Raw genomic sequence first — 12,366 nt, 5'->3', positions numbered from 1 at the left:
TCTTATCATTTCTGAATACTTAACAGTAATCCTTAAAATGGCCAAATGACTTCAGCCGTGCGTTCAGTGCCCCCCTGTCCAGCGGCCTCGTCCATGTCACCGTGGCCGGCTCCCACATCCCTCTCGTCCCCCCCGTCCCCCGCGTCCCCCGCGTCCCCCGCGTCCCCCCCGTCCCCCTCATCTCCCGAAGGCTCTGACTTTCTTAGTGCAGCTGCTTTCCTCAGGGAGGCCGCTTTCTTCTCCTGAAGAACCTCCCACGGCTCCTCCTCGGGCTGACAACGCGCCCTGGGGCGATGCGGCCTCTCCGTCAGCGGCCGTCCTCTGCCTGAGAGCTGGATATGTGGCTGCTCAGATTCTTCTCATCCTCCTCCATCTCTTTCTCCCTCCTGTTTGACAAACTTTTGGCGACATGTGATGTCATTTCTCTTTTGGGGGGGAGCTGCCTTCACCCCCTTCACCGTCAGGGTTTGGGAAGTTTAATGGTTTGTTTTTCGATCATTTTCCAAAGATGCTGGGTGGGGCTTCTTATTTTTATTTCATCATCACTGTGGACTGGGGGTTTACACACCTGATGTTTCAAACCTTCGTGGGTGTGGTGCCCGCAGACGCTCCCTCACCCTTGGTTTGCCCCAGGGCCTCTCCACAGGCTCCGGGTCCACTGCAACCTCTGCCTTCTGGGTTCCAGTGTGTTGGGCACTCCCGGGTCACCTCTGGGAGCTCCCAGATTCCAGAGTCCTCGTGCCCTGGAGGGCATCATTCTGTAGGTGGTGTGGAGAAGGCATCCCACTGCTGGCTATGCCAGCACCACTTATAAAGAAATCACCCTTTCTCCCTAAAATGACATCCTCTCTCTTTTACGTAAATTCACAAAAATACGAGTGTCTGTTTCTGCATTTTCTGCCTTGCTCCACTGTTTGGTGTCTGTCTCTGTGCCGATGCCCTGGTTTGGCATCGGTGGCTCTGCAGGGTGCCCAGTGTCCATCAGGCCCTTGTTGGAGGACAGCCTCGGAGGAGGGCCTTGCCCGGCCTCTGGCCTCACCGCTCGTTGCCCCTGAACAGCCCAGTGCAGCCTCTGTTCTCTGGACCTTCATTTATGCTTCCCGCCCGTGTTCCCTGAAGTCTGCTCTGTTTTTAGGACTCATCTCTGTTGGATGGCCGGGTGGCGCTTCTGCACGTTCCTGCAGGCACGGTGGTGTCAAGGCAGGGAGACCAGGTGAGCGGGGGTCTGGGGGGGGGCACTGGGACCACCCAATGCCATAGCCCAGTGCCAAGTGGAGCACCAGAGGAGGGCCTGGACTGGACACCAGTGACTGGGGACCTCCCAGCACCGGGCCACTGCCCCTCTGGGCACCATGGCAGAGCCCCTCCCCTCAGGCAGCCCTGAGCCCTGAGAGCTGTGTCCACCTTTGGCCCCTGCTGCACTGGCCCTTCTGCTCGCACCTGAGAGTGGGCCGGGCAAGCAGATTGGGAAGAGGTCATAAGAGGTCACAGTGGATACAGATCAGTGGAAGTGGCCTTGGAGTGGTTTCATGGGTACATCTGCAGATGTGGGACCAAAACGCGTGGCGTGTGCCGGGGGCTCAGTGTGGGAGGGGCCAGGAGCCCACCCCTCAGAGGCCAGGCCCCAGGCGAGGCGGCATGGGACCCCCCGTGCACAGGAATGCTGGGCTGACGCGCATTTGCCAGGGACAGTCAGTATGCGGGTGCCGGGAGGGAAGGTGTGCAGGTCCGAGGCCCGGCTCGCTGCACGGAGCCCTTGAGAACCCAGATTTTCCACGACTGCTCGTGAAATCATGAAACCGTAGACGCTGCCGAAATGTTTCCAGTGAAGTCCATGCCCAGAGCTGATCAGGTCGGCGGATGGTCTCCCGGCTGAGCCTGGTGGCATCGTCCGCTCTGGGCCCAGAGCTGCCCCCGTCCTGCCCGCGGCCACTCGCGGCGCCTCCTGAGCCCTCTCGTGTGTCAGGACGCCAGCATCCTGTTCGTGGTCTCGGGGCTGCTGCACGTGTACCAGCGGAAGATCGGCAGCCAGGAGGACACCTGCTTGTTCCTCACGCGCCCCGGGGAGATGGTGGGCCAGCTGGCCGTGCTCACCGGGGAGCCTCTCATCTTCACCGTCAAGGCCAACAGGGACTGCAGCTTCCTGTCCATCTCCAAGGCCCACTTCTATGAGTGAGTCCCACGGGCCAGGACCTCAGGGCGGGCCCCAGCCCCCCCTGCCCTGAGACCCCTCCCCGCGTGGCCGGCCTCTTCCTGGTGCTCTCACCCTCTTCCCTGCTTCTCGGGCTCCCCTCTTTGTCCCCGGCACCTGTGTGGGCCCAGGTCTGTGCCCCCTGCTCCAGCGCTCAGTCAGCCGACCCCACCTGCCCGCAGCGATCAGCTTCGCACGGCCGTCTCTGTGGTCTGGTCCCAGCTGTGTCCATTTATCACTGGTCTGTGGTCTGGTCTCAGCCGTGTCCATTTATCACTGGTCAGTTCTGGGGCTCCCCAGCTTGGCTCAGCAAGGCCCACGTTGGGGCAGGGCCGGGCTTCAGGGGCCGTGAGCCGTCCCACCTCTGCAGCCTGGGCTGACGTGTCGGGAGCCAGTGATGCGGAGGTGGAAGGGCAAGGCAGTGGGTGAGGACGCGTCTCTGGCTCGGGGGAGGAGCCCCACTGACGTGTGTCCCTTCTTGGGGCAGAATGTGCCCGTGTCGCCTTCCAGGCTCCGGGCTGGAAGACATCTGTCCACTTGACCCCAGCCCGTAAGTCTCAGATTTGGCCCCTCCAGGCCCAGAGCTGCCCTCGGCCCGCCTGTGGCTGCCTGGCAGAGCCGCCACGTCTTTGCATCCACGGCACTGGGCATTCTGCTCTGTCAGGTCCAGAATCTCCTGGAGCCTGGGGTTCAGTTTAACCCCAGCTCTCGCCTCTGGTGGCTTGAGCCGTTCTGTGTGTGTTTTCTGGAAGTCCTCCGCACCCTCATAGGCCAGATGTCTGCTGTGGTCTCAGAGCTCTTCTGCCTGAGTGGTTGGGCAGCAGGAGAGGTCAGAAGCCTGAAGGTCAGTGGAAGCACAGCAGCTGAAGAAAACAGGTCGGCTGGGTGCAGCGGCTCACGCCTGTAATCCAGCAAATGGCACCGCGCCGTTGCTGCTTCAGCCTGGGGACCCCGAGCCGGGCAAGGGGCAGGGGTGGGGGCAGCGGGGCCCTGGCCCAGTTGGGAAGGGCTTTCTGCATGGCCTCTGTCTTCCAGGCCTGGCCTGAGTGGCTCCAGCCAGGTCCCGATGCCGGGTGCCCTGACACCGCAGCGTGCTGATGGGGAGACTGAGGCTCCAAGTCCCGGTCCCTCCACCAGCAGGGGACCCTGGGTGGAGCTGGACCCATCTCCCTCCTGAGCATCCCCAGCTGCTCCACATCAGTGCCAGGGAGATCAGGACGGATGGCGAAGAGCAGGGACAGGAACCACCCAGGGCAGAGCTCAGGGCCCTCAGCCTTAATGCAGCTCAGTCCCCCCGTGCTGTGTGTCTATCTGTGTGTCTGCGTGTGTCGTGTGTCTGCGTGTGTCTCTGTGTGTCTCCATGTGTCTGCATGTGTCCGTGTGTCTGTCTCTGTGTCTACATGTGTCCATGTGTGTCTCCTTGTGTCTGTGTGTGTCTGTGTGTCTGTGTGTGTCTCGGTGTGCCTGTGTGTCTGCCTGTGTCCGTGTGTCTCCGTGTGTCCGTGTGTCTGCGAGTGTCTCTGTCTCCGTGTGTCTGTGTGTGTCTGTGTGTCTGCCTGTGTGTCCGTGCATGGTGTGCCTTGCAGCCGTCACCCCAGCCAGCATCCCAGGGCTCCTCCTCCACCCCCAGGGCTCTAAGTGCCACGCTCACGCCCTTCACGCCCTCACCCAGCCACTGTCTTGCCATCTCCCCAGCTTCCCCCACCTCCTGTGCAAAGCAGATCCTGATTCCACGTTTGCTCTTCCTCCTGCTTTTGCCTTCTGAGGAAATGGCAGCTCCACCTGCCTGTGGCTCAGGCTAGGCCTGGAGTCGCCCGGCGTCACTCTCACACCTGGTGCAGGTTGCCCCACGTCCCACCTCGCCACTGCCCAGAGCCCCTGGGCACGTCCCTGCTGCAGCCCTCACCCTCGACAGTCTGTCCACACACGACCACCGGGGAGAGAACAGTGTTCCCCGGGTCAGAGGCCCCAGCCACCCTCCACCCACCCAGGAGAGACCCTGTGCTATCCAGGCCCCATGGGTCTCTCAGCCTCTGCCTTTGCCTGCTGGTGCCCTTCACGGCACTCACTGCCAGCCACACCCACGGCCCGAGTGTGCATTATGCAGCTCCTGACGGCATGTGCAGTCCCCTGCCAGGACCGCAGCCTGACACAGGGCCCGTGTCCAAGGGGCACTCGCGGGCCTGCCAGGAGGGGGCTCTCTGGGCTCCCCAACAGCTGCTGGCCACTGGGCACGTGGTGGGCAGTGCTGTGCCGTGGGGCAGGCAGCTGACTGGTGCGTGCCCCGTCCCAGCCCCTGCCAGTGGTCTCTCTACTTTCCGGGTGGGGTGGGGGTTGTGGGTCCCATCCATTCCCGAGCACTGCGGCCCTGGGCGAAGGGTAGGGTTGGAGGGATGGGGCAGGATTGACTCTGGGCTGCCCGGCAGAATCATGCGGAAGCAGCCGACCGTCGTCCTGGGTGTGGCGCACACTGTGGTGAAGAGGATGTCGTCCTTCGTGCGGCAAATCGACTTTGCCCTGGACTGGGTGGAGGTGGAGGCCGGGCGAGCAATATACAGGTGAGGCCGTGGGTGCCACACACTCCGCATCCATGCTGCCCTGGCATGCAGGAGCTGGGGATGGGCAAAGCACGGTTACCGTGGAAACCACACACGGAAGTTACTGTGGAAACCACACATGGAAGGCTGGATTTCCCCAGCCCCACCCCAGCTTAGCTCGGAAACACACTTCGTGGCCTCCTGGATTTCATGACACCCACACACGCTTGGACATAGTCCATGTTCTATGAGCATCTCTCCGTGTCATTATATTCAAGTCCACACCGTCCCTTTAAAAGGGCCCCATTAGCTGGGCGTGGTGGCTCACGCGTGTCATCCCAGCACTTTGGGAGGCCAAGGTGGGTGGATCACAAGGTCAGGAGTTTGAGACCAGCCTTGCCAACATGGGTGAAACCCTGTCTCTGTTAAAAATACAAAAATTAGCTGGGCGTGGTGGTGTGCGCCTATAATCCCAGCTACCTGGGAGGCTGAGGCAGGAGAATCACATGAACCTGGGAGGTGGAGGTTGCAGTGAGCCGAGGTCGTGCCACTGCACTTCAGCCTGGGCGACAGAGCGAGACTCCGTCTCAAAAAATAATAATAATAATTAAAACCAAGACAATTTTAGAATATTCATTTAAAACAACCCAGGCCTGTTAACATAAATATTTTAAAATAAAAAATATGTTTTCCAAAACAAAAATAAGATAGTGAGAAGCCTGCATTTTCTTTTTCTCCATCCTGAGTCTGTCTGGCATTGGGAAGCTGGGTGTGGAGGCTGAGGCTGGGGGCCCAGGGCTGCAGGGCCTCTGTGTCTTCCGCAGGCAGGGGGACAAGTCCGACTGCACGTACATCATGCTCAGCGGCCGGCTGCGCTCTGTGATCCGGAAGGATGATGGGAAGAAGCGCCTGGCCGGGGAGTACGGCCGAGGAGACCTCGTCGGCGTGGTAGGTGCTGGGCCCTGCTCCTGCCTCCCCCACCTCTGCATCCCTCCCAGAGCATCCTGGGTTCTGGCCTGGGTGTGGCCTGGCCAGTTACTTGGGAGCAAAAGCCCCAGGAGTGGATGGTAGTAGTGATGCCCCGCAGCCGCTTTGCTGTGAGCCCCGGGCTCTGCCTCCATTGGGGGGACTCCCCGCGGCTGCTTTGCTGTGATCCCCAGGCTCTGCCTCTGTGGGGGACTCCCAGGCACCTATCCTGGCATCTGGGAGCACTGGCCCAGATGCCTTGGGTGTCTCTTGAGGGCTGGTAGCAGCAGGAGCTGCCTTTGGTCTGGGGTTCCACAGGAGCAACTACAGCTGGTCTGGGTCTCACAGCAGGCCCCTGCATCCTGAGCGAGTGGGGGGCTGCCCAGCTCCAAGGTGCCACGGCCTGGGGCTTCTGCCGATTTGTGTTTTTGTTTTGTTTTGTTTTGTTTTGTTTTTTGAGACGGAATTTCACTCTTGTTGCCCAGGCTGGAGTGCAGTGGCGCGATCTCAACTCACTGCAACCTCCGCCTCCTGAGTTCAAGAGATTCTCCTGCCTCAGCCTCCGGAGTAGCTGGGATTAAAGGTGTGCGCCACCACGCCCGGCTAATTTTGTATTTTTAGTAGAGATGGGGTTTCTCCATGTTGGTCAGGCTGGTCTCCAACTCCCGACCGCAGGTGATTCACTCACTTCAGCCTCTGAAAGTATTAGGATTACAGACGTGAGCCACTGCTCCCAGACTGTGTTAAGTTTTAAACCAGTGTGGCCAGGTGTGGTGGCTCACGCCTGTAATCCCAGCACTTTGGGAGGCCAAGGTGGGTGGACCACCTGAGGTTGGGAGTTCGAGACAAGCCTGACCAACATGAAGAAACCCCGTCTCTACTAAAAATACAAAATTAGCTGGGTGTGGTGGCGGGTGCCTGTAATCCCAGCTACTCGGGAGGCTGAGGCAGGAGAATCGCTTGAACCTGGGAGGCGGCACTCCAGCCTGTGCAGTAAGAGCTAAACTCTATCTCAAAAAAAAAAAAACAAAAAAAAACTAAACTCCGTCTGAAAAAAAAAAACAGTGTGTGGGGAGGCCTAGGTGCCCTCCCCTGGGGACAGCGTGGCCTTCAGGCAGCCTCTGAGGTCGGAGGTGCCGTGTTGCTCCGTGTTTTGCCCGGGGCTGATGGGAACTCTGTCAGTGTGCTCCAGCACCGCCTCGCCTCAGCTCTGCCAGGGCCGAAGGTCTTCCCATCAGAGTCCCGCGCTCCGATGGCTCAGCAGGCCCTGGGCCTCTGCTTGGCTTTATGTGCAGCCTGGTGGTTCCAGCTCCATCCACCGGATGAAGGCTCACACTCCAGGCCGGATGCCGGCAGGGAGGCCTCAGTGCCAGAGGGCAGGGCTCCCGCAGGCTGAGGGACACATCTTAAAAAGAGGAGTTCTCCAGGCCGGGCGCGGCGGCTCACGCCTGTAATCCCAGCACTTTGGGAGGCCGAGGCGGCGGACCATGAGGTCAGGAGATCGAGACCATCCTGGCTAACATGGTGAAACCCCGTCTCTACTAAAAATACAAAAAAACTAGCCGGGCGTGGTGGTGGGCATCTGTGGTCACAGCTACTCGGGAGGCTGAGGCAGGAGAATGGCGTGAACCCAGGAGGTGGAGCTTGCAGTGAGCCGAGATCGCACCACTGCACTCCAGCCTGGGTGACAGAATGAGACTCCGTCTCCAAGAAAAAAAAAAAAGAGGTGTTCTCCAAAGGCATTTATTTCTTCGGGAGAGCTGAGGCTGCCCTTGTTCCAGCCTGTGGTGTCCAATGCCTGTGTCTGCAATTTGCCTGGGTTGCTAGGGGGCACCTTTGGCTTCTGGCATGTTCCAGTGGTTCTGACAGCGTCGCCCGCCAGCACTCACTGACTGCCTCCGCCTTGCGGTGTGGATGGGGTGTCATGTGTGGCTCTGGCAGGCACCGGAGGCTGTCAGGGACAGGTCCAGCTGGCTCGGCCCTCCCAAGCCCGCGGCCCCAGCAGCCGGCTCCTGTCCTCAGGTGGAGACACTGACCCACCAGGCCCGGGCGACCACGGTGCATGCCGTTCGGGACTCAGAATTGGCCAAGCTGCCGGCAGGAGCCCTCACGTCCATCAAGCGCAGGTACCCACAGGTGAGCATGGCGTGGGTGAGGATGCGGAGCGGATGAGGGTGTGGAGTGGATGAGGGCATGGAACAGGTGAGGGCGGAGCGGGTGAGGGCACAGAGCAGGTGAGGGCGCGGAGCAGGTGAGAGCGCAGAGCAGGTGAAGGCGCGGAGTGGATGAGGTCACGGAGCAGGTGAGGGCAGGGCGCAGGTGAGGGTGCAGAGTGGATGAGGTCACGGAGCAGGTGAGGGCAGGGCGCAGGTGAGGGTGCGGAGTGGATGAGGTCACGGAGCAGGTGAGGGCAGGGCGCAGGTGAGGGTGCGGAGCTGGTGAGGGCGCAGAGCAGGTGAAGGCACAGAGTGGATGAGGTCATGGAGCAGGTGAGGGCAGGGCACAGGTGAGGGCGCGGAGCAGGTGAGGGTGCGGAGTGGATGAGGTCACGGAGCAGGTGAGGGCAGGGCGCAGGTGAGGGTGCGGAGCAGGTGAGGGCGCAGAGCAGGTGAGGGCGCGGGTGAGGGTGGTGCGGGTGAGGGTGGCACAGGCCATGTCCCAAACTGTGCCCTGAGTTGTGGTGATCATTCGGTCTACCTACACATGGATGGAAAACGACCTGGAGGAGGTGAAGATTAGAGCCCAGCTGGGTGGGGGCGGTGACGGTGAGCAGGAAACCTGGAGAGGCGCCCAGGCTGCTTCCCAGGACAGTCGTGCAGCTGCCTTCTTGGTGGCCTCTCTACTCATGAGTGATGTGGGTGTGGCAGAGGAAAGGGAAGTGACTCTCACTCTGAGATCTGGAGAAGGACAGGGCGGGCTGCTCGGAAGTGCAGGGTCAGCGGTGAGGAGAGCGCCCAGGAAGGACCGGCAGAGGGGCCTGAAGGGCAGGTCTGCAGTTGTTCATCAGCCAGCACACGGATCCCAAGAAGTTTTTCATTCTAGAACAAATGGAAAGGGGGTGCAGGTGTGGCCCACAGCATGTTGCAGGGCCTTTTACGGCCAGTGCCTCTCACCACCCCTGGGGCTCATCCTGAGAGGCCACCACTGCCCTCCCTCCACCGCCTCCCCTCAGGTAGCGCTTCTCCCACTCAAAGCTCTTGGGCCATGGTTCTCCTGCCCGCAGCTCCTGGATCCTGGTTCTCCTGCCCGCAGATCCTAGGTCCTGGCGCTTGCTGTACTTGCCCACTTATGGACCAGGAGAGCCTGGCGGAGCATGTGAGTGCAGCTCACAGGGCCAGCAGGCTCCAGGGTGGCAGCCACAGTTGCTGGGAACAGCAGGGAGCCAGGCCACTCCTCCATCTTTGTCCTGGCCTGCAGGGTGGGCCTCGTTCTCATGAGCGCCTCGGAGCAGGAGCCCTGGCCCACCCTTTAGAGGCCGCTGCAGGGCTCCATCCAACCAGCAGCTTCTGGGGGACAGTGCGGGTGAAGCCAGTGGGTCCGCTGTTGTGGGGCCAGCTTTGCTGTACAGTCAGCCCCTGGGCAGGGTCCCTGCAAGCCAGCAACCCCTGGTGTGGGGACCGTTTGGTCCAGTCAGGACAAATGTCCCCAACCGTGCCCTGAAGCAGGCTTGGCACCCAGAAGCAACAGCCACAATGAGCCCTCAGTTCCAGAGAAGCCTGCCAGCCTGCCCTTGTCCTGCCTTCAGGGTCGTGGGTGGCTTGCTTGGAGTTGTCTGCCTGCCCTGAAGTGAGAGTGAGAGGCTGGCCTGGGCTCACGGTCACAGAGGACATACCCCTTGTACCTGCTGGCCTGGCAACCAGAAAGGCAGCCGTATGGCTTACCTGGGCATCAAGAAGGCTGCAAGGCCTAAACAGCCATGGCCCAGCACGTGGCTTGTGAGTCATGTGCAACTCAGTTCATGGAGGTTTTGAAAAGCAGATCCAGCGCCATTGGCTGAGTCTCGCTGTTGTTGAGCATCACTGTCTTTGGTTCCCAGTGTTTCTCAGTTTAAAACGTGTGGCTCTTGGCTCCTGTGTCTGCCCGCAGGTGGTGACTCGGCTGATTCATCTCTTGGGTGAGAAGATCCTGGGCAGCCTCCAGCAGGGACCTGTGACAGGTGGGTCACCTCTCCCAACCCAGAGCCTCCTGGGAGCCCTCACCCAGTCCTGGAGCCCCGCCCACCCAGCCCATGGCCCCGCCCTCCCAGCCCATGGCCCCGCCCTGTCCTGGAGCCCTGCCCACCCAGTCCATGGCCCTTCCCTGTCATGAAGCCCTGCCCACCCAGCCCATGGCCCCACCTAGTCCCAGAGCCGTAGCCCACCCAGCCCATGGCCCTGCCCACCCAGCCCATGGCCCTGCCCTGTCATGAAGCCCGGCCCACCCAGCCCATAGCCCTGCTCTGTTCTGGAGCCCTGCCTACCCAGCCCATGGCCCCACCCCATCCTGGAGCCTCACCCACCCAGACCATGGCCCTGCCCTGTCGTGCAGTCCCACCCACCCAGCTCATGGGCCCTGCCCTATCCTGGGGCCCCACCCACCCAGCCCACGGCCCTGCCCTGTGCTGGAGCCCCGGCCACCCACCCGCCCATGGCCCCGCCCTGTGCTGGAGCCCCACCCACCCGCCCATGCCCCTCCCCTGTGCTGGAGCCCCGCCCACCCATGGTCCCACCTACCTCAGAGCCCCGCCCACCCGAGCCCAGTAATTTTTTTCAAACTGTATCTCAATGTGGGCAGCACTGGAGGAAAGCTCTGCTATATGTGAAAAGATGAAATGTGATATATCTCCCTCCTATTTTTGTCAGCTGATTGGAAAAAGGAAACAGGGTGAAACCTCCGGAAACGGTATTGGTGGAGCGGAGAGTGCTCTCTCTCCTGTGCTCAGCATGGAAAGATAATGAGACCATTCTAGAGTGTGGGGAATTTAGTTTTCCCTGCTCCAGCATATTCATTCTTTCCTAGTTCTGAGGTGTACTTTTTTCTGGAGCCACTGTTAGCTCTCAGGCTGTCCTCTCTCACCAGGTCCCACATACTCAAGGACTCTGACCCTTTATCTCTGCTGGACAGCATTTGACCCCAGATCCCCTTGCCATTCTGGGAGCTCCTCTCTCCTGCCTTCTGCCTCTGTGCCTGCTGCTCTCTGCCTGGAGCCCTCAGAAGAGCCTGGCTGCTCCCGCGTGTCCTGCATCTCCGTCTCAGCACAGCCTCCCTGGCCTCCCCATCCGCCCAGCACTCTCAGCTCCCTTTCCGCTTCCTTTTTCTTCTCTGTGCTTGTCACCCCCGACACATTGCATGACCTGTCACCTGCCTCTGGCATTGGCGTGTGAGCTGGCTGGGAGCAGGAGCCTGCGTCTGTGTTCACACAGTGACGTGTGCACAGCATTGAACGTCTGTCCAAGAAGCGGATGGATGCACAGAGGGCCACACAGAGGCAGCGAAGTGTGAGCCCCACTCTAGGGTGACCCCATCTTCATCTGAGTTCCTCTGCAAAACCGTTTCCAAATAAGGTCACATTTTGCGGTTCTGGGTAGACATGAATTTGGGGGGACACTAACACGTAATGTAACTCTTCACTCTCCACTTACCTGCACTGTGAATTTTGGGGGACACTGTCTAACACGTAACGTAATGTGACTCTTCGCTCTCCACTTACCGGCACCGTGAGTTTTGAAGTGAGTTTCTTGTAGAAGGTGTCCGGTTGGATCATGTGTTCCTCATCCCTTCTGACAATCTTTATCTTTTGTGTGTTTAGACTGTAGATACTTAGTGTAATTATTCTGTTACGTCTTCCATTTTGTTGTTTTTTCTGTTCTCACGCCCCCCACTGTTGTTAAACACTACTGTATTTTCTCTTTTTATTTAGAGATGGGGTCTCGCTATTTTGTCTAGGTTGGAGTGCAGTGGCTAGTCACAAGTGCAATCATAGCTCCCTGCAGCCTCTAACTCCTGGGGTCAAGTGATTCCCCCCCCCTCAGCCTCCTGAGTAGCTGGGACTACAGCTGTGAGCCTCTGCGCCCAGCTTTTCTGTCTACTCTTATGTTACTTGAACTTTTTTGAGTATTCCATTATAATTATCAACTGTGGTTTCCATGATGTCTCTTCATGTGACATTTTCAGTGGTTACTCTAGCGATGACGTTATCCATACCTAACTTATCCTTGTCTACTGACAGCCACATCTCAGCACTTTAAGTGGAATGTGGAGAGCTCACCATTGTTCAGTCACTTCATCCTTCCCCCTTTATGATGTGGTTGTCTTAACTATTACCTCTGTAATTTTGTCAAACTGTAGCCCCAAAAACACAGGGCTACAACTTTCGCTTTCAGCCATCAAACATGATTTTTAAAACTTAGGAGAATAGTCTGTGATGTTCACCCAGGGTCACCGTCCTCCTGCTCTTCTTTCATTTGCGGCATCTCAGGTTTCCTTCTGGGCTCGTCTCCTTGCTGTTGAAGAATTGTGGTTAGCGGTTCTTTCAGAGAAGGTCTGATGGCTGCAGATCCGCTTGCTTTCCCTCATCTGAGAATCTGAGAATATCTCCATGTCACCCTCATGCTGAAGGGTGCTTTTGCTGGATGTATAATTCTGGTTTGGCAGAAATACAAAGTATTTCAGCACTTTAAAAATCTTGTGCCA

General features: G+C 59.2%; 1 protein-coding gene across 12 annotated transcripts in view, besides 7 other annotated features; it reads left to right on the top strand.

Moving 5' to 3' along the window:
• Positions 1-7: part of a nucleotide motif, noted in NCBI's record as "nucleotide motif; similarity to the predicted 16-mer PRDM9 C-type binding motif, CCNCNNTNNNCNTNNC", that runs on past the window's edge.
• Positions 1-430: part of a recombination feature, noted in NCBI's record as "recombination_hotspot; locus 1 recombination breakpoint sub-region, resulting in a terminal deletion", that runs on past the window's edge. NCBI's record gives the evidence for it as "EXISTENCE:DNA microarray evidence [ECO:0005524][PMID:19293338]".
• Positions 1-2,481: part of a biological region, named in NCBI's record as "9q34.3 PNPLA7 recombination region", that runs on past the window's edge.
• Positions 1-2,481: part of a meiotic recombination region, noted in NCBI's record as "meiotic double-strand break mapped by DNA meiotic recombinase 1 chromatin immunoprecipitation followed by single-stranded DNA enrichment and sequencing in the germ cells of some male individuals with the PRDM9 A/A, PRDM9 A/B and PRDM9 A/C genotypes", that runs on past the window's edge. NCBI's record gives the evidence for it as "EXISTENCE:chromatin immunoprecipitation-seq evidence [ECO:0000229][PMID:25395542]".
• PNPLA7 (patatin like domain 7, lysophospholipase) overlaps positions 1-12,366 on the top strand; it is a 90,451-nt gene that overhangs the window by 47,540 nt on the left and 30,545 nt on the right. For all 12 annotated transcript variants that reach the window (XR_929794.2, XR_929793.2, XR_001746292.2 and 9 more), the window contains 6 exons: positions 1,136-1,213; positions 1,967-2,172; positions 4,618-4,749; positions 5,553-5,676; positions 7,717-7,830; positions 9,781-9,850. Coding sequence is in view for 8 of the 12 variants with exons in the window: in XM_047423367.1 (XP_047279323.1) it covers positions 1,136-1,213; positions 1,967-2,172; positions 4,618-4,749; positions 5,553-5,676; positions 7,717-7,830; positions 9,781-9,850 (724 nt within the window). In the remaining 4 variants the exon portion in view is untranslated. The remainder of the gene's footprint in view (positions 1-1,135; positions 1,214-1,966; positions 2,173-4,617; positions 4,750-5,552; positions 5,677-7,716; positions 7,831-9,780; positions 9,851-12,366) is intronic.
• Positions 2,063-2,075: a nucleotide motif, noted in NCBI's record as "nucleotide motif; similarity to the predicted 13-mer PRDM9 A binding motif (LD hotspot motif), CCNCCNTNNCCNC".
• Positions 7,508-8,008: an enhancer, noted in NCBI's record as "H3K4me1 hESC enhancer chr9:140389307-140389807 (GRCh37/hg19 assembly coordinates)". NCBI's record gives its function as "activates a minimal SCP1, AML or CMV promoter by ChIP-STARR-seq in naive H9 embryonic stem cells {active_cell/tissue: H9 hESC(naive)}" and the evidence as "EXISTENCE:reporter gene assay evidence [ECO:0000049][PMID:30033119]".
• Positions 10,116-10,205: a silencer, noted in NCBI's record as "silent region_20627". NCBI's record gives its function as "represses an Ori minimal core promoter by ATAC-STARR-seq in GM12878 lymphoblastoid cells {active_cell/tissue: GM12878}" and the evidence as "EXISTENCE:reporter gene assay evidence [ECO:0000049][PMID:35858748]".

This window comes from Homo sapiens, chromosome 9 (assembly GCF_000001405.40).
Source record: "Homo sapiens chromosome 9, GRCh38.p14 Primary Assembly".
NCBI lineage: Eukaryota > Metazoa > Chordata > Mammalia > Primates > Hominidae > Homo > Homo sapiens.
The sequence above is the reverse complement of the archived record's forward strand: the minus strand, read 5'-3'. Positions and strand labels throughout refer to the sequence as shown.